Source organism: Homo sapiens, chromosome 3 (genome assembly GCF_000001405.40).
Source record: "Homo sapiens chromosome 3, GRCh38.p14 Primary Assembly".
Lineage (NCBI taxonomy): Eukaryota > Metazoa > Chordata > Mammalia > Primates > Hominidae > Homo > Homo sapiens.
The window spans coordinates 88,274,664-88,300,372 of record NC_000003.12 but is presented as its reverse complement, the minus strand read 5'-3'; the positions used below and the strand labels follow the sequence as shown (position 1 = coordinate 88,300,372).

At 36.9% G+C, this 25,709-nt stretch overlaps 1 long non-coding RNA gene across 1 annotated transcript in view; it reads right to left on the bottom strand.

Annotated features, from left to right (window-relative positions):
- The window catches only part of LOC105377202 (uncharacterized), a 51,278-nt gene extending 26,165 nt beyond the window's left edge, over positions 1-25,113 (bottom strand). Inside the window, exon 1 of the long non-coding RNA XR_001740804.1 lies at positions 24,981-25,113. This is a non-coding gene — a long non-coding RNA (uncharacterized LOC105377202). The remainder of the gene's footprint in view (positions 1-24,980) is intronic.
- Positions 25,114-25,709: the final 596 nt, after the last annotated feature.

The window sequence follows — 25,709 nt, the reverse complement described above, 5'->3', positions numbered from 1 at the left end:
ACACATCTGTTCACATTTCTCTAAATAGTTGTGATGAATTGTATTGTGCTATGCATATTATCTCAGCTATCTTTTATTATTTCATATAACCAAACCGTTTAAGAAAAAGAGCACACTTTAAATAGCAGAGCTATTAGGTACCAGCAGCCTAAATGGATCTCTATTTTGTAGATTATATTCAATTAATCTGCTACTGTTTATGCAAACACACCTTGTTCTTTCTTGCTTCTGTAATATTTCTCATGCTATTCTCCTGCTTAAAACACTCTTTCTTTTCTTCAGGTATCCAACTGAACTTCAAAGCTCAGCTAGCTCAAACATTATTTCTATGAAAACTTTCCCAAGAAAAATATTGAATTAAAAGTGTGGGAGCAATCTAACAAATAAAATAACCCATCTCCACCAACAGAACTTATGCATAACTTTTCCTTCTACTACTAATTGGTATTGCAGCCTAGACTTACACATCTGAACAGACAAAATTGTGAGACTGTGATCCAGGCAGTGAGACTCCAAAGTCTAGGTATTTATCGCTAAGCGAGATAGATATGGATAGACAGATGATAGGCTGGGTGCCGTGGCTCACGCCTGTAATCCCAGCTCTTTGAGAGGCAAAGGTCTGCAGATCACCTGAGGTTAGAAGTTCGAGACCAGCCTGGCTAACATGGCGAAACCCTGTCTCTATTAAAAATACAAAATTAGCTGGGCATGGTGGTGAACACCTGTAATCCCAGCTGAGGCAGGAGAATTGCTTGAACCCGGGAGGCGGAGGTTGCAGTGAACTGAGATCAAGCCATTGCACTGGGTGACAAGAGCGAAATTTTGCCTAAAAAAAAAAAAAGATATAGATAGATGATAGATAGATAGATAGATAGATAGATAGATAGACAGATAGATAATCACATAAATATAAATAAAGGCATTTAAAATAATGAACACACACAAAGAGCTTGCTTGGCCAGGATTTGTCTGTGAAAGCTTTATCTAGGCTTCAGCAAGGCCTGGAAGAACATGTAAGATTTGAACAGGCAGAAAGCAGAAGAAAAGGCATGTTAGGCAGGAGGAAAATCATGTGAAAAGTTTCAGAGGGGAAAAAAACATAAGTTTGGATAAGTACTCGTAGGGAAATAGATTACAAAAAGCAAGAGATAAATAAAGAAATAAAGTTGTTTGTGGATGAAAAAAATGCCTTGGCAAATAAATGAGATAGTACTTTTTGAGATAAGCTTTAACATATACTTAGTTTTTAACTGTGGGAACACCATGATGAAAGTGATTTTGTTTGTCAGCAACACTTCCTTCTTATCTTTCATCTCCATCTAAACCCTACCTTCTCTTCAATGCAGAAACAAGACCAGTCAGAGGTTATTTGCAGGAATCATTTTGAAGACAAAAATTTCCAAGCAGTCAACTCCAACCAATAAAAAATCTGAATTTAATTATATGAGAAAAAAATAAAAACTTGTATAAAATAAAAATAAATGTTAGAACTGGCACAGAGTAAATGTAGAAAAACTCACTTATGAAAAAAAAAGTACATTTTTTTTCAGGCAATAAAACTAAGCCAGTACTTATGTGGTGGAAAATCTCAACCTACATCCACTTTGTCAGTATTATGGGGTAGTTTTAATTATCAAGACTCCAGAGACTTTCCTCATGTAAGGAAAATATTACTAGAGATATAGGATATCAACTTTCACCCTATATATTATAATACATAGGGGTTATTTTCATGGGTTTTCACCATGGGGGGAAATACTGTCAAACAAATTACTTTCCAGTTTAGAATATTTTCCTGTATATCAGGAGCCAACTCAATAATTTCGAATGCTTTGAGGAGTGAAGCACAGGAAATTCTTTCATCTCTGAGTTGGCATGTTTCCTCTTTCCTCTTCTACACCATAATATTACACTTAGCACTGGTTGGTTAAGCTCAGGCTGGCTGTCCCTTTGCCCTCCACAAACCACATTTACGACCATATTTATCTTACTTGGGACACCAAGTTCAAGCAAAAGGTTCTCGGATCAGGGTCAAAGGCATTAGCAGGTTGGCAAAATTGATTGTGGTGAAGTAGAAATGCCCTTTGTAAAATACCATAGAAGCAAAAATATTGATTTGCTTTGTGTTTTGGCTTAAAAATAATTTCCTATGGTAAACCAGTTCCTCACTAAATACCAATATCACATAGTAACTAAATTCACCAAGTCAAACCATATTTGAACGCTTTTATTGTTGTCTGCATTATAGTTCATTTCCAAGCCAATAACCGTTGACTTATTGTAGCTTCTGAATCATATATTCTAAATATCTTTGTAGACCTGAGGTTGAGTTTTGTCATCAAGCAATACTGAGATAGAATTATTTCCACAGAGAATTATTTTGTTCTACTAATTAGTAAAATATTAAAATCTATCAGGGTTGTATGAGTACACACTAACTTGTATACATAGAAAGCTTAGTAATTCAAGTGCCAGAACGTCATCATTTTTTTAAAGTTTTATATTACATCTCAGGAAATTGCACTTTACCTCCAAGGATGTAATCATCACACAATATCTTAAACCTAGCACACACTTAATAACTACTTATTCATAGACTTATTGTTTATAACGTTCTAAGAGAAAACAAGGCAAGGAATAAAAGTCAGGCTGATATATATTTTCAGAAATATTTCTAATATTTCTATTTCGTTCAGGAATATGAACAGAAAATGAATCTTATCATTTATGTTAAATAGATATGCTATAAATTCAGAACATATTAGAAATAAAAATATTATAAATAAGTAAATAATTTTGGCCCATAATCATTTGGCCATTTGGGGCTTTTTCTAGGCTTAATTGAATTTGTAGTTAACAATAAAAGATGTGTTCTAAAAATAAACTGTCCTCTTCAAAAATAATCTGGAAATGCTCAAGAGTCTTCATCATTTATTCTGACAAAAGTGATCATATTCTTATTTCGCTTTCAGTTTAGCTTCACATTTTGTTTAAAAGCTAAAAAATCTCTCTAGTGTTCCTTGGGAGAATGATTAGCCACCATTAAATAAAGAATCTCAGGAGGCTGGGCTCTCACTTGTAATCCCAGTGCTTTGGGAGGCCAAGGCAGGAGGATCATTAGAGTCCAGGAGTTCGAGACCAGCTGTGGCAACAATGCAAGACCCTGTCTCTACAAAAAATTTTTTAAGTTGCCAGATGTGGTAGTAAGTGCCCGTAGTCTCAGTGAATTAGGAGACTGAGGTGAAAGGTTCCCTTGAGCCCAGGAGGTCGAGGCTGCAGTAAGCTATGATTGTGCCACTGCACTCTGTTCTAAGGCATCTGTTCCAAGATTTCTCACATGAGATTCTGCTTGCTTTCTGTGTCTAAGATGTCTCAACACAGGCTTCTACTATGCGCAGCCACTTGGGATTTTTGTGGGACCTTAGTTTCAGTTGCTCTCAAGAGTATAAGTACAATATAAACTTCCCAGAGTTTAGAAGATTCTACTGTTAACAGAGAATAGAAGATTCATACACATGAATCTTCTATTACATGTACTTGAAGAAACCCTGGGAAAATTCTAGTTGAAACCACTGCTTTAGCATCTTCAATTAAAACCATTTGAGCAAACAGTAAGTTGAAAGCTATGAAAGAATTTTTTTTTTTTTGCAAATAGGCTTCCAAATAGAGCAATATTGGCAAAGGAAACCAAAACACAATTTGTTGTGTTTAAGAACTGCCTAATCCATTTAAAAATAAATAGAGGGACAAAGTTTTCCAGAGAATAGGGTTTATAAAATTTTCGACTGACAGAGAGAGGTTGAGTTGAATAAAGGGAGTAGGGGAGGAGGGATCAAATTTGCCACCTTGAAAGAAAATATTTGTAAAGGTTTTCCAAAGGTAAAAATCAACAGATCTTTCTTCCTGGATCTGCAAGCTACCAGTGAATGTGCCTACTAAAGAAGCATTGCCAATTTATAAGACAATATAAATAAAAAGTATTTGGTGACAGAATCAAGAGACATTCCCTTGTATTCTTCCTAGAATCATCAGATACCCAATTGTTGAAGCCAGATCCTTAGAATTCCTCCTAGACTCTTTCTGTCTCTCATTCTGTCTATTTAGTAAATTATCAGATTTTAAATCCCTTGAATCCCTGGTAAGATTCAGATGTGAAAAAATAAAAAGAGGAGCTGGTACCATTCCTTCCGAAAAGATTCCAAACAAATGAAAGGGGGACTCCTCCCTAACTCATTTTATGAAGCCAACATCATCCTGATACCAAAACTGGGAGAGACACAACAACAGCAACAACAAAAAAACTTCAGGCCAATATCCCTGATGAACACCAATGCGAAAATCCTCAATAAAATACTGGCCAACCGAATCCAGCAGCACATCAAAAAACTTATCCACCATGATCAAGTTGGCTTCATCCCTGGGATGCAAGTCTGGTTCAACATACACAAATCAATAAATGTAATCCATCACATAAACAGAACCAAAGACAAAAACCACATGATTATCTCAATAAATGCAGAAAAGGCCTTTGATAAATTTCAACATTCCTTCATGTTAAAAACTCTCAGTAAACTAGCTATTCATGGAACATGTATCAAAATAATAAGAGCTATTTATGACAGACTCATAGCCAATATAATACTGAATGGGCAAAAGCTGGAAGCATTCCTTTTGAAAACCAATACAAGACAAAGATGCCTTCTCTCACCACTCCTATTCAACATAGTATTGGAAGTTCTGGCCAGGGTAATCAGGCAAGAGAAAGAAATAAAGAGTATAGCAAGAGAGAAAATCAAGTTATCTCTGTTTGCAGATGACATGATTTTATGTTTACAAAACCCTATAATCTCAGCCCAAAAACTCCTTGAACTGATAAGCAAGTTTAGCAAAGTCTCAGGATACAAAATCAATGTGCAAAAATCACAAGCATTCCTTACACCATCAATAGGCAAGCAGAGAGCCAAATCATGAATGAACTCCCATTCACAATCACTACACAGACAATAAAATACCAAGGAGTACAACTAACAAGGGAAGTAAAGGACCTCTTCAAGGAGAAAGAACTACAAACCACTGCTCAAGGAAATAAGAGAGTACACAAACAAATGGAAAAACGTTCCATCCTTAAAGATAGGAAGAATCAATATTGTGAAAATGGCCATACTGCTCAAAGTAATTTAAAGATTCAATCCTATTCCTATCAAGCTATCATTGACATTCATCACAGAATTAGAAAAAACTATTTTAAATTTCATATGGAATCAAAGAAGATCCCATATAGCCAAGACAATACTAAGCAAGAAGAACAAAGCTGGAGGTATCATGCTACCTGACTTCAAACTATACTACAAGGCTACAGTAATCAAAACAGCATGGTACTGGTACCAAAACAGACATATAGACCAATGGAGCAGAACAGAGACCTCAGAAATAACACCACACGTCTACAACCATCTGATCTTCGAGAAACCTGACAAAAGCAATGGGGAAAGGATCTCCTATTCAATAAATGGTGCTGGGAAAATTGGCTAGCCATATGTAGAAAGCTGAAACTGGAGGCCTTCCTTACACCTTATACAAAAGTTAACTCAAGATGGATTAACAACTTAAATGTAAAATCCAAAACCATTAAACCCCTAGAAGAAAACCTAGGCAATATCGTTCAGGACATAGACATGGGCAAAGACGTCATGACAAAAACACCAAAAGCAATTGCAACAAAAGCCAAAATTGACAAATGGGATCTAATTAAACTAAAGAGCTTCTGCACAGCAAAAGAAACTATCATCAGAGTAAACAGGCAACCTACAGAATGGGAGAAAATTTTTGCTATCTACCCATTGACAAAGGTCTAATATCCAGAATTTACAAGCAACTTAAACATATTTACAAGAAAAAAACAAACAACCCCATCAAAAAGTGGGCAAAGGATATGAATAGACACTTCTCAAAAGAAGACATTGATGTGGCCAACAAACGTGTGAAAAAAAGCTCAACATCACTGATCATCAGAGAAATGTAAATCATAACCACAATGAGATACCATCTCACACCAGTCAGAACGATGATTATTAAAAAGTCAGGAAACAAAGTTGATGGCAAGGCTGTGGAGAAATAGGAACGCTTTTATACTGTGAGTGGCAGCATAAATTAGTTCAACCATTGTGGAAGACAGTGTGGTGATTCCTCAAGGATCTAGAACCAGAAGTACCATTTGACCTAATAAATCCCATTACTAGGTATATATCCAAAAGAATATAAATCATTCTCCTATAAAGACACATGCACACATGTTTATTGCAGCAGTATTTACAATAACAAAGATATAGAACCAACACCAATGCCCATCAATGATAGACTGGATAAAGAAAATGTGGTACATATGCACCATGGAATACTATGCAACCACAAAAAGGACTGAGATGATGTGCTTTGCAGGGAGATGGATGAAGCTGGAAGCCATCATCCTCAGCAAACTAACATAGGAACAGAAAACCAAACATCACATATTCTTGCTCATAACTGGGAGTTGAACATTGAGAACTCATGGACACAGAAAGGAAAACAACACACACCAGGGGCTGTTGGGGGTTGGGGGGTGAGGGGAGGGGACTTAAAGGACGGGTCAATAGGTGCAGCAAATTGCCATGGCACACGTATACCTATGTAATAAACCTGCACGCTCTGCACATGTATCCCTTTTTTTAGATGAAATAAAGAAAAAAAAATAAATCTTTTGAGTCTATCTCTCATTTCCCACATCCTCAAAAATTATCTCTGCCACTCCTCGTATCATCAGATTACTCACTGCCTCTTATCCCTTTTTTCACTGCACCTCCTCTTTCTCTGGAGTAAGGCTTTTAATATATTTTTAAATTTCAAATAAGCTTATGTCACTGTGGTGTTTAACATCAATCTCATCTTTCATAGCTCTTCCATATGCACTTTCTAAACACAATGCACTCACCACAGTTTCTCAAAATCATTATGCTTTTGTGTCTTGGAAAAAAAATAATTTCTTTTGTTTTTCCATTCTTATTGACTAACAAGTTTCTAGTAATCAATATGCAGCTCAATTGTCACCTTCTTTCAAAGCCTCCAGCCCCCACCTGTTGCAAGACTTGTTCTTTCTTCTATCATAACACATCACTTTCTTCTATCATAACACCTCACATCATGTCATGATCTGGCACGTATTCTCACCAGGCTTTGAATGCCTGAAGAGGAATTATTTCTTACTCAATTTTAATATGAATGCACAACGTCTGTAATAGATATATGTTAAATAAGGTTCTAGGATTGAAGGAGTGAAATCAGTGGTGTCTTAGATACAATTGCCTAGAAGCACAGCCTGAGAACTGGATTTCCAAGCAAAGGATTTATTCAGGGAGTGCTCTCAGGAGAAGCCTGCAGGATGGCAAGCAAAGGACAGGTAGAGGAAGAAACTAAGCAAAGGTGTAGTGTTCGTTGATGTCTAGCCTCAGCCTAACACTATTTGTAGTTCTGAAACAGTAAGGTCATTTCAGAACTGGGTCTCTTTGAGCCAAGAGAGTCAGGTTTTGAGACCTCTATGTCAGTCATTGGTTGCCAAGCGTTGGAGGGTGTTGATGGTGGGAAGTATAGCCTCTCTATATGCTATTAATTGTGCAAAGCCGCACCAAAGACTTCAATGATTTGTCATGCCGTTACATTGTTGTAGGAGTGCAGTGTTTCTTCCAAGGGAACTTCTAAGCAGCTCAAAAAAGAGAAGAATCCTTAGAAATTTGTGTTTTAGTATCTAGTGTTATACTTAGAAAGAGGCACCAAATCCCTAGAACATACTAAGAATATCTCTTTAAAATGTGTACTTTTTAAACTTATCATAAATTACTTTTTTACTGGGGTACTGAATCCTATGTGTTATGTCTGAGATTTGGTCTCTTTAACCTCACCATACATGAGAATAAATAAAGGTTGCTCAGCAAACCTACTAAAGGCCTAATATAGCTGTTAAGTCTGTGTGAGTCTTTGTAATATTTCCTGGACACTTGGAACCAAATAAACGGTATCTTTTCATATTCTAGGCATTTATCTTAGAATAGAAGTGTTTTATAAGTATGCATATGCAGGCCATGAAACATTATTTTGAATAGGCATTTATTAATGTTCATGCAATATTTATACAGCCTGCCCACATACAGATAGACAAACAAAACAAATGGAGATTATCTTTCAACCATATTTTAGTATCTTTTCATAAATAGTGCATTATAGTAAACAACTTTTCCAAATATTTTCTAAAATGAACAGTATGAGATGTCAGAGAACACTGGAGATAAAACTAAGTCCCCAAAGCATATTTTTCTTCTTGATTGCTAATAAACAGAGGAATTAAAACTAAGACAAAATTCCTGCTAACGCACATGCAAATTTTAATCAATAACAATACAAAAATATATGTAGCAATAAGAAGCTGCTGACCTTCTAAAATTTCATTCTGCACATTTTCTGTTTATTGTGCTGGATTCTAACCACACATTCCCTATTAAGATAATCACATGTTAAATGAAAGAGAATTCTACTTGCTTAAAGCTAATTTTGAGAAGTGTTTGTAAAAGTACAATGGCATCATGTGGCACATTAGTAATGGGTATGAAAATGTACACAAGAAATGTCAATGGCTGTCATGTGTAACTGAGGGCAGAGAAGAGTGCATATTAATTCAGAAAAATTTGGCCCCACTCCAAGGATTTTTACAATCCCAAGACTATTTTTAAGAAGTTCTCAAAATTGAATCACACATTTAAAATGGAAAAAACAACTAACTGCCTCCAACTCAGGTATGAAACTAAAGATAAGGAAATTCAGGCAGCCCTTGGCAGTGTGGTTTGAGCAGATAAAAATGGAAAATGTCCAAACCCTTTGACTGTAGAAAAGTCTCAACATTTTCATTTTGTTCTATTTTATTCTTCAGGCAGTACATTAATGCACAGGGGATTACTATTATAATTTTCATTAGCATTGAATGCTCTAGATTCCAGTTGAACACATAATGTATTATTGAAATCTGGATTTCTAATTTTTAATGGTTGAGAAAGCAAGTGATTATACCCTTCTCTGAAACAATTTTTTTAAACAACCTTCTATTAAATCAGTTAAACAAAAAAGAAGTAATTTAGTAATAAGAACCAAATTCAGGCAGTTTCAATACCTATGAGATGAGGAGATGGGTGAAATGAAACAACAGAATGGCTGGAATAATCAACAAATTTTGTTTAGCTGATATTAAGGTAAATGTAGTGGTGGAGTGAATAGAGCCTAGAAAAGTGTTAATTGGATAAATTAAGTTTCAGACAAGTGGAGACTTGGTACTTCAAATTCAGGAACTTTCATTTTAATCATTTTTATGAAAACATTTCTAAAATATATTACACTCTTTATTATTCTTTTATTTAAAGAAACTGAGCATACTTATCTTTCCTTAATGAGTTAGAATTATTTATAGATGTTAGACATTTTCATGTACTAAGAGAATTTTTAAATTTGTCCCTAGACTGATCAAACATTGCTATAGCATTCAAATGTGGCAAGGTTACATGCTCAGAATTATTGAAGTAAGTATGATTTTTCTTTTTCCTAAACATCCCCAGAGCTCAATATTTTTCGGGCCAGTATTTCTTCTTTCACACATGGGCAGCTTTTTCATTCATTTGTATTTTTTATAGTAGCTATCATTGCTCTTAATTTCAGCTGTCATTTCCCTTTCCAAATAGTTTTTCTTCTACCCACATTGCTTTTTTCTTTATTTTCCTTTATATTAAAAAAAAACTCATATGTCTTTAGTTTTACCCGACAAAAACTGATTTTGAAAGCTAACATCATAAATGTAAATGCTGGTTATTTTTTTCTCCTGTAATTTTTGCATTAGAAAGATTTTTGGCAAATTTTGTTGATGTTTCTACTCAGTGGCCTTATTTTCAAAGTATTACTATTTTTTTTTTTATTAAGGCAGTTGAGAATGCCAAACACCTGAGGGGCTCTGTCTACAGTGACTAATTTCTTACCTTTTATCATAATGTAAATGTACTTTCCTCCAAGGGTTTTTAAGTATTTCCCAACTCTTTTCCTAGATAATTAAATTTCCTCTTTCATTTTTTATACATGTTTCCATGACAATGTCCTGCATACTCATATTTCATATCAAAACATAAAATACTTAAAATTTATCTCTCTTAATTATATAGCCTGTTTTAGAAGAAAGTGTCCCTAAAAGACATTTTAGGGGGCATGAATAAGTCAAAATTATCATTTCTTTCTTTTTTTAACTTTTATTTTAAGTTCAGAGGTACATATGCAGACTGTGAAGGCTTGTAAATAGGCAAGTGTGTGTCCAGGGGGTTTGTTGTGCAGATTATTTCATCACCCAGGTATTAAGCCTAGGAAAACTAACTAATGGGTACTAGGCAGAAATATCATTTCAATTAATAAGAATTTACTATACACAATTCACACTGTCAGAAATAAATTAGATGTCATTTAAAAGCAGGAAAATAATCTAGAGTTATGCTCAAGATTTTAAGAAATGCCAATATAAGATCATTTCCTTAGAGATAGCTTTTGCTTGAAATAGGTTCTATTTCATCGACTGATATTGATCGATTAATTTATTAATTTTTTCTGAATGTTGTTATATACAGAATCAGTTCATTATAAAAAGAAAATACAGCATTACACTCATAAAATCTCATTCCTATTTAGACACATAGAGATTTTGATGTCTTATTTCACTGCAGTGACTTTTGTCATAAAATCCAACTGCATTAGCTCATTTAAAAGGCCCTTTGGCCCGAGTGTGGTGGCTCACGCTTGTAATCCCAGCACTTTGGGAAGCCAAGGTGAGTGGATCACTTGTGTCCAGAATGTGAGACCAGCCCGGGCAACATGGCAAAATCCTGTCTCCGCTAAAAATACAAAAATTAGCTGGGCGTGGTGGCGCGCGCCTGTAATCCCAGCTGCTTGGCAGGCTGAGGCAGGGGAATCACTTGAACCCTGGAGGCGGAGGTTGCAATGAGTTGAGATCTCGCCACTGCACTCCAGCCTGGGTGAGTGAGATCCTGTCTCCAAATATCAATCAATCAATCACTCAATAGATTAATAGCCCTTTGAAGCGCATCTCCGCTTACCTGTCTGGGCTTCTCTTTCATCTTCACTTCCAGCTCTATGTTCAAGCCTTACTGAATCACTTTCAGTCACACCAGCCTGTCATATTTATTGTCTCTTGATTTCTTTTTCATTGTACATCCATAATATCCATAATAGATGTACATATTTTCAGGGGTACATGTAATAATTTAATACATTCATACACCCAAATCAGGGTAATTGGGGTATCTTTCACATTATATATCTATCTTTTTATATTTATATAATTTATATAATTATGCTAGGAACATTTAAATTATTCTCTTCTAGCCGTTTTGATATGTACAGTAGATTGATGTTAACTATCATCACCCTACTGATCTATGGAATCACAGGTCTTATTTTTTCTATCTAACTGTATATTCGTACTCATGAATTAACCTTTCTTCTTGATTTCTTTCTACAGTCTATTCCCTTTATTATAACTCTCCTACCTCCCACCTTCTCGACTAACTTTAGTCCTTCAGATCTCAGTCTAGAAATTATTTCTCTAAAAAATCATCCAGATACACCCCCCTCCTCCCCACCCAGTTCAGGCCAGAACACACGTAGCACAAGCCGCATTACAGCTACATCACTATCTTGACTTTCTGTGCAGTGTTTTCATTTCATAGCTAGCACAACCAGCCAAAATTGAGACCTTTCCTAAAAGGCACATTAATGACAATCTACTTAAGATTGGACGATTTTCTTAAAGAAAAATCTAGGCTAACATTTATATAAGCTTTTTATCCATTTTATTGTAAAACTTAATGAAAAAGGTAAGAGGTATAATTTTGAGCACGGGGGAAAGCTGTCATTTATGAGTAAAGATCTTACAAGAGTAGATAACAGAAAAAAGAGAGGTGGGGTGTTAGATGAAGAGAGAGAGATACATGGGAAATATTCCTAACGAGGTGGCTTTGACCACATTCTGACTAAATGTAGTGGGAATACATTTCATTTTCAACTGAATCATTTATATGTTAATAAGGTATCAAGAGCAGTGATGTGGCTACCAAAGAAATTAATCATATGTTCTCTATTTAATCCGAAGACACTATATGGGATATGCAAATATTTAAATGTAATATTAATTGAAGCAAAATACTATGACCCTGGGAAAGTGGTCAACCAGAAATTAATGTTTATGTATCCTAAAGCTCCATTGTTTGGAAATATTATACCGATGAGGAGAAAGGCAGAGACTTGATTCTACCACACATTTATGGATTAAAATCTAAGAGTCTCCGAAGAAAAATACCCTGAAAAATACCATGATGCCAAATATAAATAAGAAATTTAGAGCTTATAAAAAAGATGGTGAATATAGACTATGATTTCTTTTTTTTTTTTTCTTTTTTTTTGAGACGAAGTCTCGCTCTGTCTCCCAGGCTGGAGTGAAGTGGCGCCATCTTGGCTCACTGCAACCCCCGCCTCCTGGGTTCAAGCAATTCTCCTGCCTCAGCCTCCCGAGTAGCTGGGACTACAGGCGCCTGCCACTACGCCCAGCTAATTTTTTTATTTTTATTTTTTGTATTTTCTGTAGAGATGGGATTTCACCATGTTAGCCAGGATGGTCTCGATCTCCTGACCTTGTGATCTGCCCGCCTCGGCCTCCCAAAGTGCTGGGATTACAGGCATGAACCACCGCGCCCTGCCTGGACTATGATTTCTTACTAATGAAGTATGGAATACCTAAATGAGGCTGACATCCATAGTGCATTCCATAGAAATAAATGACATGGATAAAGAATAGAAATCTTCAGGGAGAAGGATTCACTTGCACCCACATGGGCAGTGATCTAAAAAATGAAGGAAGATTAATAGATATATTTATTTATAAATATCCCCGGGTATTTTTAAGCTCTGGATTAAGGTCACTAGAGCTATTTAATAGGCTGTCTGTATAATGTCTGTTTGTCTATGTACGAGTGTAGATAGATAAGCAATAGATATGTACATACATCTGTAGACAAAAAGAAATGTAGATAGGTGATAGATAGGTGATAGATAAATAGATATGAATGCATACATTTTTACATATTTATGCACACACATATACATATATCTTATACTTTTAAAGATAATTTCTATTAGATGTGATGTAAACTTCTCAGGGCTCAATGAGATAGTAAAATCTACTCATGAGGTCATTATTCAGATTAATTTATGCACGTACGTGAACTCAATCCCAAAGTCATTCCTATCACTTTTGACCTTCATACATAACACAACTCACCTGTAGCCATCAATGTATCTCTGATTCTCAGGTCTATATTCCTCTTGTAAATGTACTAAACTAATAGAAAGCATTGTTACCCAAAGTTTATAGATCCACAATAATTTCCTAAGAGCTGTTTTTTAACATCAATCTCTCCTCTAAGCCATTTGTCACACCTGTTATTATAAGTTCTTTGAAAATAAGAATAATGCCTGGAAGTTTGTTGTATGCTCACCAACCTAACAACAGCTTTGAACTCATAACAGGTGATTTCTAAATACTTACCGACAGACGTAGCTTAAGATTCCTCTTTAAGAATCTAGGCCAGCCAATAAAAGACATCAAAATGATAACATTTAGCTATGACTTTTGAACTAGTAATCCATGGTCATAATATTTTTAGAATTTTATGTTAAACATGAAGCCAATAAAATATCAGTAGCATGGCAAAAGTACTAGGGGTTGGAGAGAAAGGAAGACAGAGAATTGTTTGGGGTGTGATGGAAGGATTGCCTAATAATGAATTTTTAGTCTAAATTGAACTGTATCTTTGTGACAGTTATTTAAAAATTCCAAATTTTTCATGGTTTTCCTAAGTATGGGGTCTGGCAATAAAAAATAATCTGGCATTCCTCTTGTGGAATTCAGGCAGCCACAGAAGCCCATATAAATCTAATTTCCATGGTTCTTGTAATTTTCATAGCCATTTGTAGCATGGAAACTGTGTGTTTGCTATTGAATTAGGACTATAAATATCATGTAATCCATACTCTATAAATATGTAATAATTCTGAAATGACCATGTGACTTTCATTGTTGCAAATATAATCAGGGTTATGAATTCTCACTGTATTGAAGAATCAATAATTTTAGAGGCTTGAGGTCATATGGGGCAAAGGTAGTAATTTCTCTGCACCCTTCCCTGAGAACCAGCCCACACACTTTTTAAAGTAGAGTAGGAAAATAGAAGAATGTGACCAAGTGTCACTTTCATTAAAAACTTTAGCTTGTTCCTATTTCTCCACATCCTCTCCAGCACACTGTTGGTGGGACTGTAAACTAGTTCAACCATTGTGGAAGTCAGTGTGGCGATTCCTCAGGGATCTAGAACTAAAAATACCATTTGACCCAGCCATCCCATTACTGGGTATATACCCAAAGGACTATAAATCATGCTGCTATAAAGACACATGCACACGTATGATTATTGCAGCATTATTCACAATAGCAAAGACTTGGAACCAACCCAAATGTCCAACAATGATAGACTGCATTAAGAAAATGTGGCACATATACACCATGGAATACTATGCAGCCATAAAAAATGATGAGTTCATGTCCTTTGTAGGGACATGGATGAAATTGGAAATCATCATTCTCAGTAAACTATCGCAAGAACAAAAAACCAAACACCGCATATTCTCACTCATAGGTGGGAATTGAACAATGAGATCAATTGGACACAGGAAGGGGAACATCACACTCTGGGGACTGTTGTGGGGTGGGGGGAGTGGGGAGGGATAGCATTGGGAGATATACCTAATGCTAGATGACGAGTTAGTGGGTGCAGCGCACCAGCATGGCACATGTATACATACGTAACTAACCTGCACAATGTGCACATATACCCTAAAACTTAGAGTATAAAAAAAAAAAAAAAACTTTAGATTGTATTTCTATCGACACCAAAATGTTTTAACTAGTGGACAGAGAAGTGTTTCTGGAATGGAAACTAGAGCAAAAATTCCAAAATCCCGCCCCTTGTCAAACCCCAGAACTTCCTTGCTGCTCAATACCATTTAAAATTTGCCCAGCAAACTTTTTACACATAATGCAAGCACTGACTTACTATGTTAGCAAGTATCACTCCCAGAGATGAATCAGGACTTTATATCAGGGCACCTGCAACATCTCTGAAGAAAATGGATGAGATAGAGACAGGATGAGAATCCCTGCTCCTATTCACAAATGCTGGGACTCATACAAAGATCTATGCCAATGGGAAAACCCGTGTATAAACATTGATGCTTCACATTAAGCAAAGAAAGCTTCAACTCTTCTTATGAGAGAAATTGTATTTTGCCCCCCTTATTATATCTCTCATTATATCTCCTTATCATATCTCCCCTTATTACATCTCCCCTTATTATGTTTCCATTCTAGCTCAGAAATTTAGATACTATTTGTAAAGCCAAAAAAGGCACAAATATTTCTAAACCTTCATATAGAATCTTAATACTTTAATTCTGGAAGAGACCTTGAGCATTGACTAACAGACCAGCAGAAGCCCGTAGGTGAAGCCTACATTAGGAAAGGGGAGAGCAGGAAAAATATTCTAACAACAGCCTGACTATTCCAAGCCTATAATCCAGAACTGTCTAAATAAGGATCTGCAGAGCATTTAGCCAAGGAAACAGAACCAATAGGCAGCACAAACCATGTCTACGGTGACTTAAGTGATTTTTAGCCTGGAATTTTCCTCAAGTGATTGTTTAAAAAGCCTAAAATGAAAAAGGTTTCGCTTTCAGAAAAGCAGGATGTGAAGATACTGGGGACTATAACTATTTCATCTCCAGATATAAGCCAATCCTAGAATTTTCTAAGAAAAAGTTAGCTGAAGTCTCAGGTTCAGGATAAACGGTCTCTAGGCCTGAAAAGTAAGCATTGGTTGGAATGTGAATGGTTGAAGAGCCCATGAGGTTTTTTTTTTTGACAGCAAATGCCCATTTCTTGTAATTTTCTAGGATTCCTTATAAAGGAGTCAATGGTGTTTCTTCCTTAATATAGCTCAGGAATTTTATTAATAACAATCTCACTTTAACACCCTCTCAAATTTCTCAATTTTATTATTCACAAATTCTTCTAACCCCAGAGATTTTGACATAGCTGGAAGGGTTACAGTCTTATACTACAAGTTACATAAAGTTATGAAATTAATAACAGTTCTTTATTATCCCTCTTCAGAACTAAAATAACATTTAGAATTTTTTATCTGACTGCGAGCTTCAGAAGAGGCAAAGGGAAAGGACAGCTCCTACCCAGAGAAATATCAGGGACCCCTAACATAATCTAACTCTCAAAATAAGGAAATACTAAGATTAAGTATTTTGCCCAAGGTCACAGTGCTAGTTAGTAACATAACAAGACGTAGTAACCAGTCTTTCTAAAGTGAAAGCCTCTCTCCTCAAACAAAGCATCTAAAAGCTATTAGATCTATGGTTCAATGATCAATCTCCAAGTTAAAATCCTGCAGATATATACATATGCATAAGAAACTAACCAGATGATCTTCTTACTTTGCCCCACTGCTCATAAAGCTGTGAAAGACAAGGTCAGAGTTCTCTTCACCATAGGCTGAAGCACAGTAATTTGCTGCCTGCTAATATTTATCTTCCATCTCATAACTCATCTAAGGAGATAATAAAACCATGATTCATCCAGGTTTTCAGATTTCCTAAAAATTAGTTTCTGTAGAATATTCCACGTATCTTCATTTAATTCACTATCAACTTACTTTGCTGTGGTAACTTTGAAAGAAACTTTTCCTCCTTCCTCATTCACACACAGCCAACCCTGAGAACCCAGAATGTGAAAACGTGACTTTACAAGGCTGCTCCTGGAATGGGCTGTGTTTAATGAATTGAGTGTCGAAACTAATATGTATAGATAAAACATAAGCATACCTAAGTACATATCTCTGAGTCCTTACTCATTCCTCAAGGTCGATTTCAAATCAAAACTATTTCATGAAGTCTTTCTTAGCAAACCCAACCTTAGCTATTTCTCCCTGCCAGGACATCCTACAGTGCTGAGTTTAAGAACTGCATGTTCAGCACTTAACACACCCTGTATTTAGTTCAGGAACATCTCAAGTGTCCCCTTAACTCTACCACTTCTTACTTTGCTCTACTGCTCATAAGACAAGGTCTGCTGGTCCACTGGGCAACGGGGCAGCTGCAACCCACACACTGACCCTGAAAACACTCAGCTCCCTTTTGTTCTCCAAGTTTAAGTGTGGAGAGAGGAAGAGATTTTTTGATCTTATAGCTCAATCGAGATAACCTGGAATTTTCCAAGGCGTCTCACCAAAAGGAGACTAGAATATTCAAAAGCATCTCTGCTAACGGAAAAACAAAATTAAAAACAAAAAAGTAGCAAAATCAGAGAAACAGTCCTATTTACAGTGCACATTTTTTGCTCATAACATAAAGTGGGTTTAACCACAGACTGGTTTGGCTGGTTTCATTTCTGGGCATGCAGGCCCTCCATTCCTATCCTCACCAACCCCATCTACGCTAGATGCCACAAGCCTAATTTGGAGAATATTCACACTGGAGCTTTTGTGCTGGTCATCTTTGTGGGTACTAGGTTACCCTGATGCTTCTCTGAGTTCACACTGCCCTGTCTTTTATCTGGTCAGCTACCTCAGCGTAAAAACCCAAGTTGTAACTTTCTGTGCCTTGAGAAAAAACCTTTACCCTTTGGCAAGTCGCCATGCCTCTGGTCATTCCCCACCAACCTTCCTTCCAGAATTCAAACATATTCACGTACTAGATTCTCAGGGAAATTAAACAGAAAATATTGTAAGCTTTCTCCAGGCCCTCCCAGATTCTTGAAGCTCATTTTCAGAGCCCATATTTGAGAATCCAGTGACCTCGCAGACTAAGACGGGAAGCCCCCCTTCCCAGAGGTATTTTTCCTTATGTGATTCTTTGCCTGCTCTTCCTTTTCCCCATTCTGTTTTTCACCCAACAATAACAGGGGCATATTTCCACCTTCCCCCTTCCATAAACCACCCACCCTGACTTGGCACTTTCATTGAGTTCCCCTCTGGAAAGAATACTCTTAATTTTCTGTTAATTTGTAGAGCAGTTAAGATTGGCATCCTCTCTAGCCCTTTTCAGAAGAGGCTGACAATTCTTCCTGCTCTCTCAAACCCTCCGAGTTGCCTCCTCTCAAGGCTTTGCAAGATTCTACATGTTACAGTTATGCAGTGTTAAAAATGCACTTATAATTCTAAACAGACACGCGCATCCAGTAAAAAACGATCATTCTCTTATGTTTTCTATTGTTTTTTAGCCTTTAATAAAATCAAGTTATTTGAGTTATTAATTTTGGTCTCAGTGTATTTCCGTCTCCCTTCCATTCGTTTAAAGAAGGCAGCAGCCTCTGCGGTTCATTGCTTCAGGGGAGGCCGACCAAGAAGTAGCTTGAAAGTCTTTCTTATTTTGATATTTCAAAACCCAAAACCCAATGGAGAACTTAGAGAGCTTGCAAACATAAACAGAGTAGCTTTAAGGAAATGTCAAGGGAAAATGATTTGCCCCAGACTAAAGATATATCCTGGGAAAGAACAAAGAGGCAACGTCTGCAATTTTTCAGAGCACGCAGGTCCCTTTAGAATGCAGAAACATCCCAGGAACTCAGAGAGTGTTGCCTGTATGGTATACGTTGCAGATGGGCACAGGAAGTCTTGAAGACACTCTCCATGTCCCAAACCTGGCAAGGAAGCAGCAGACCATCACAGGATATGAGGAGGCCATCCAAGCTGGGACCCTGAATTTCCTAACGTTAGCTTATATATATACATAACTGGGTACCATAGTCTACCCTTGTTTGGCGTTACATGAGCCCCCAGAACTGTGTATGGCACAATTCTGGAGAAAGGCAGGGAAAAGCCCCAAAGTAACAAGATCACAGCTTTTACATGACATTAAGTTACTTTTTAGAAAACAAAAAACAATCCTTATTTTTCATACAGGTGAGTTTGTGGAATGGAATTTATACGTTCTCATTTATCTCTACACTCCATTTATCCAATTACTTTTATGATATTTGAAGACAAAGATCAATCTTGTATCACTAGAATCTTTAAAGGGCCTTGAATTTAATTAGCACTCAATGTTAATAAATTTTGTTGGATTAATATTACCAAATCATAAAATCTTTGAACTGGAAGCATGAGAAAATCAATTATTCCAATTTCTATTTCACAGATGAGGAAACTAAGCCCAGAGAGTTAAATTTTCCAGGTCCTACATAAAGCTTCAGGTTTGTTTTCCTTCCAGAGTAATGTTTATCTTCTAAAGATTGATGTTCATATTGTCATATCCTTCTTGAAGACTAGAACTCATTAACTGACACACCAATAAAGTCACTTAAATAAATAATGCATGTTTAAAATTGTTCTTCCAAATCCCACCCAAGCATTCAGCAACTTTTAGAAATACTAAGGACATTGGTTTGGATTATCTTTTGCACTTTCCACTCTCCTAAGGATGTTCCTTCCCTCTGGACTACTGATTGATAACCCTTTATATCTGCTTTTATCTCGAAGCCATCACCTCTACCCTCAGAAGAATATCAAAAGCATCACATTTGTTAGGTCTATTCCACTTGGGGAGGTCCCTGGGGAGCAGTAAAACTAGATTGAGAAAGTTCCCAGGCCTGGAGGGAGAAGATGCGGCTTTGCCAGATGATGCTAAATAAAAGCCTGAATTGTTATCTGAACGCCTTGATGGGAACCAAGTACAAAGATAGACCTATGTCAGTGTTAACTAGTATCATTTTGTCCTCAGAATGCCTGCTGCTTCCTTGCTGCTCTTTTGCATTTTCTTTTCTTCTCAATGTTGTACCCACCTTCATTTTAATCTGATTTAACATATAGGAAATATTTAAGGGGGTCAGAGAAAAAAGTAAGAACTCATGAATTTGGGGCTCTGTTCCTCATATTTTCCCCTTTCCTTGTCCTCTCTCCTCTTGGGTTTATGTCTAATGTGAGCAAGTCTCCCCAAACCTTGCAGTCTTCAAGAGTCATCTTTCATGTCTGGGCGCAGTGGCTCCGCCTGTAATCCCAACACTTTGGGAGGCCAAGGCAGGTAGATCTCTTGAAGACAGGAGTTCGAGACCAGTCTGGCCAGCATGATGAAACTCCATCTCTGCAAAAAATACCGAAAAAAGCCACACGTGATGGCACGCACCTGTAGTCCCAGCTACTCAGGAGGTTGAGGCAGGTGAATTGCTTGAACCCAGGAGACAGAGGTTGCAGTGAGCCAAGATCACGCCACTGCACTCCAGCCTGGGTGACACAGCGAGACTCCATCTCAAAAATTAAAAAAAAAAAAAGGGTCTTCTTTCCGTTTCATATCTATATAAATAACAAGAGCTCTCCTTTGTACACTGCAGTGGGATATCCACTATCTCTTCCTGAAACTTTTGATTCCAGCTCAGAATTTCGAGGCCGCGTTTAGGTCTCAGTCCCATCATCTTGCACACTGCAGCTTCTGTACACTCTACATAGCCCAAGTGAAGACAGAGCTCCAACTCCTCCTGCATCTCCCAGCACATCAGTGACTCAAGTTAATTATATCTTTTTTTTTTTTTTTTTGAGACGGAGTCTCGCCCTGTTGCCCAGGCTGGAGTACAGTGGCGCGATCTCGGCTCACTGCAAGCTCCACCTCCCGGGTTCACTCCATTCTCCTGCCTCAGCCTCCCGAGTAGCTGGGACTACAGGCGCCCGCCACCACACCCGGCTAATTTTTTGTATTTTTAGTAGAGACGAGGTTTCACCGTGTTAGCCAGGATGGTCTCGATCTCCTGACCTCGTGATCTGCCCACCTCGGCCTCCCAAAGTGCTGGGATTACAGGCATGAGCCACTGCGCCCGGCCGATTATATCTATTTTTAATAAAAGTGTAGGGAGATTATGACACAGGACAAAATGAGACAACTTTAAAAGGAATGTTTAGACATCATTTGTCTTTCAATGTTCCTTAGTTATCACTACTACAGGGAATTTCTTATCAGTCATCTGTCTTCTTTGGCCCCTGTCTAGTATTAGGGCCCACTCTCACATGCGTTGGGTCCCACTCTCACCTTCTGTTGCAATACCTGTCTCTGCTCTGCTCCCCGCTTCTAGACCCATTCAACCTATTACCCTGTCCAGATGCCCTATTAGAGTCCCCAACTTCTCCTACTTAATTGTACAGCATAATTTATCTCACATTTATGTTATTCTCAACTCCAGACTAAATTGTAAGGCCTACTTTTTTATAACCAAGAAGGCTTGTCAATGACATTCTTAAAAAAAAAGCCACATATCCCTAAGATTAATTATGACATTCCTATGAGCATGCATTTATTTTTATAATAGCCACTATTTTCTCCCAGTGTGAAAACGTTGAGCCTCTGTGTGTCTAAGAGAAACAAAACCATTCTAAGGCGATTTCCAAGTGAAAACACCTTTAATTCAAGCTTTACATTTCAGCTGAGGAATGAGCAAACCAATCTCCACTGTGGTCTAACTACAACTGTGCCTCCCAAATCAGCCTTGCATGGTGGACCACAGTATAAAGCAGATGCCTTAGATCATTCAAATAGCCAATATTTTGACTTAAAACTTTCCTTCATTTTAGAAGTTTTGAGGTAGCTTATCAGAAGTCTGGAACGAAATCTTTAAAATAAGGTGGCATCTCCTTGAGCCAAGGCCCACAGTGGCAGAATAGTGCACTGTGATTGGTATAAGTGAGGCAACACTAGCTCCTCTCTAAGAGGCAGGACTTTGGCATGAAGGACATCGCTGGATGGGAGGCAGGCAATTCCTATCAAGAAGTGGCCTAAAAAATGGTTGTGTGTGTTCAAAGGTGTCCATCATACCCAAGGACAGTTTCAGGCCTTTTCAGCTACCCACAACAATAATCCAAGGAAATCTTTGCCTCAATGATAGGCGGCCAACTCCCAGGCAACTTTAATGCCATAGTGAATGACCGCAGACGAGTGCGTTCTGAGTGTGTTTTCACCTCCAATACTTCTTGGTGCTAAGGAAATTATCTGCTGTTCAGCTCACCTCTTTTATGAATAGGCTCTAAAGTAACCGCATTGCAGGCACATAGAAACCAAATAAAGGAATATTTTGAGCAGCATCTTCAAATCAGTTAGCCCTAATGATGGCCTTTCAGTGCACATGCGCATTGACACTTGTGTCTCTTATCTTCCCTCAAGTTGTTGGTTAGTTTGTCTTCTCCCTCCTGGGCACAAGGCCTATCACAGAGTAAGACTGTGTTCACATCAACAGAATGGCCTACTGAATGGGACTTTATTCTTACCAGCAGAATAACCACTGGAAGTCAGTTTTCCTGAAACTTGTTTACATGTCAAGTGCATACTGTTTAGTTAAAGTATTTCAATACAGTAGTCTCCCCTGATTCACAGAGAATATGTTCCAAGACCCAAGTGGATGCCACAAACCACATATAGCACCAAAACCTATAAGTACTATAAAGTTTGAGGTATGACAGAAAAACAAGCATGTATTTCTTTTTTCTTCTCCACAGATAGATTTGTTCTTACCTTAGATCTTAGCAAGCCCAGCACACCATTATTTTTCTTTCTTTATTAAGTCAAGAACTTTCACCATGTTACTTAAAGGAAGCACTTTATGGCTTCTCTTTTGCATATCTGAATTGTTAAGATAATTACTCTTGCTTTTCGGAGCATTATTTAGTAAAATAAAGGTGATTTGAACACAAGCATTGTAATACCTCCACCTTAGTCGATCTGATAAGTAAGATGGCTCACAACAGGAGGGTGGACTATACAGTGTGGCAATGCTGGACAAAGGGAAGATTTGTTTTCTGGGCAGGATGAAGCAAGACAGTATGAAATTTTATCACATGCCACAGAATAACACACAATTTAAAATTTATGAATTTGTATTTCTGAAATTTTCTATTTAATATTTTCAGATCCTAGTTGACCACAGGTAACTGAGACTGCAGAGAGAGGATCTATGGATAAGGGAAGATTATTGTAATACGTTCTTCATAGAAAAGTTAATTTTAGTTTATTTAATTTTTCAAAAGCCTTATTCATCATGAAAGAAAGTTTTAATTCAAATGACTAAGTCAGCTATTCATTTTATTCTCTGTGATTTAAACTTATATCTAAATCAGTCATGAATATCTCCAAAATAGCCAGTGTTTGAAAGCAGACGGTTTTCTAAATTAAAAATTTCTTAGAACATCTTTTCTAATACCAAAGAAAGAGAGTATTTACTTTTTCTTTCTATTTTAAAAAAAAATCTATTCCTCCCAATAGCTAATGGTTGACAAGGCCAGGAATCAATTCTAGCATCTTTGCCATGTTATATTATCTTCCATCCATTCATTTGTTTATTCTGTGAAAGTTGTCAGATTCAAAATGGAGTCATGAATGCTAAGAAAACCCTGACAGATAAAGCCAGGAAAAGGGGGTTCTCACGTTTCTATGCCTCACAGCGAAAAAGACTATACAATAACCACAACCTTGCACAAAGGCCATCACAATCTTACACAAAAAATGCTTCTGCAAAAACTTCTGCCTAGCAACTGTCTGTCCAATCTGAGACTTAATTATTAATCTGTGTAGCCAAGAATAATTATTTCAAAACAGTTATGTAATCCTTCTCATTAAAAAATAAAAAAAAACCTTTTATCCCTGAGTATACACATAGTTCACTATGGCATACATATTTTCACTGCAATGCTCTATTCCCAAATAAATATATTTTAGCCTCTCTCTGTTTTTTATTTAGGTTGATAATCTATACCTTTGATATCTATTGAGATTTGACTACAAACAGGGTATAGCAAGGTAGTTGTTCCACTGTAACTGGGAAGAACAAGTTACTTTTGCCGTGATGGTCACAAGACTGCTTCTTCCAGGCTTCAAATGATCAATTCTCTGGTTCAAATATAAGCTTTAATGCATTAATTACAGTGATATAACTGGGGTTAGTTATTCAATCAGAGCCGTGGAAAACAAGAGAGTGAAGAAGGAAAAATATTGTTGCTTGTGTCAATCTTACTAAGTCAATAATTAAATTTATAAGCATCAAAATAACTTCCCAATATTTTCACTTCGTCTTCCACTGAAAACCTGAAAGGTTAACTTTTGGGTGGTTTTTTTTTTTTTATTTTTGCCTAGGCAAGTGGAAACAATCATGACAGCAAACTTACAAAGTAATGTATTTGTCACTGTGATTCATGGAACTCAGCATTTATGGAATACTGCTCTAGAGAGGACATAGGAACCAGAGACAGAAAGGACCCAGCATTGAAGTGATAAAAGCTAACATGTTAGCAGGTGATATTTTTATTGCTTCAGTTTGTGAAGTAAAATGACATTTTTTGAAACATATCAAAAACACAATATAAACACATGAGCAAGATTGCACAGCTTAACTAATCCATGTAATTTATAAGCTAGTACTCATTGTTTATGCACTGTGTGAAACATGATTTGGTGCTACTGTTGCTGGATGGCTTTACCCTAATCTGTAATTGCATTTAGACAAGGATTTGTGGTACAAGCATCATGGTTAAGTAAAGTTCTGCTTGAATTAATACTCAATACCTCAAGGTTGGATTGTTATAATAACCTCCTGATTGTCTTCCAGCCTCTCCACTACAACAATGCTCAGACCACTGCCTGACTAATCTAACTAAAACACTGCTTACTCTAAAGGATCCCCATTAAATGGCTCCCCAATGTCTAATAAATAAAGTAAGAAGTCTTTATTCTGGCATTTGAGGTTCTCCACAATATAGCACCGAACTCACTGTCTATTTGATATGCGAGGCCGCCACTCCAGCTGCACGGGGTTTCTCATGGTTCCCCATATAAACAACGCTGATTCCTTTCTCCATAATCTTGTTCATGCTGTGGTTCTCCAGATGTAACCATGCCAGGGGTTCCTGGAAAAACAGTTCCTCAATAAAACTTTCCCGATCTTTTCTTGCCATAGTGTTTTTTATCTCTGAATTTTTAGAGCAGTGTTTCTCAGTCTCAACATTATTGACATTTTGGTCCAGGTAATTTTGTGTTTGCAATTTTTTTGTGGGGGCTTTCCTGTGCCTTGCAGGATGGTTGGCAACATTCTTAGCCTCTACCCACTAGATATCAATGGGAGTCACCCCCAAATAGTGATCACCAAAAGTATCTGCAGATATGATTTTCAAATGTCTCCCAGGGAGGCAAAATTAACCCCAATTGTTCCAGAATCTTATCGTATGTATCACTCATATTCACATTTAAAAATATTTCATGTGTATGTCTTGCCTTCATGGCTAGATTATTTTGGTGCAAGTATTAGATCTTATTTTATTTTTGAAACTCCAATAAAGAGTAAAGCACCACATTGAATTCTTAAGAAATATTAAAATTTTAATTTAGTATCTAAAAATCAGAAGAAATATGAATTACATCATTTGATCTAATCTCAATTATTATAAGTGTAAATTAAGAACCATAAAAGTAAAGCTATTTGCCCAAAATAAATGTGTGTTGGT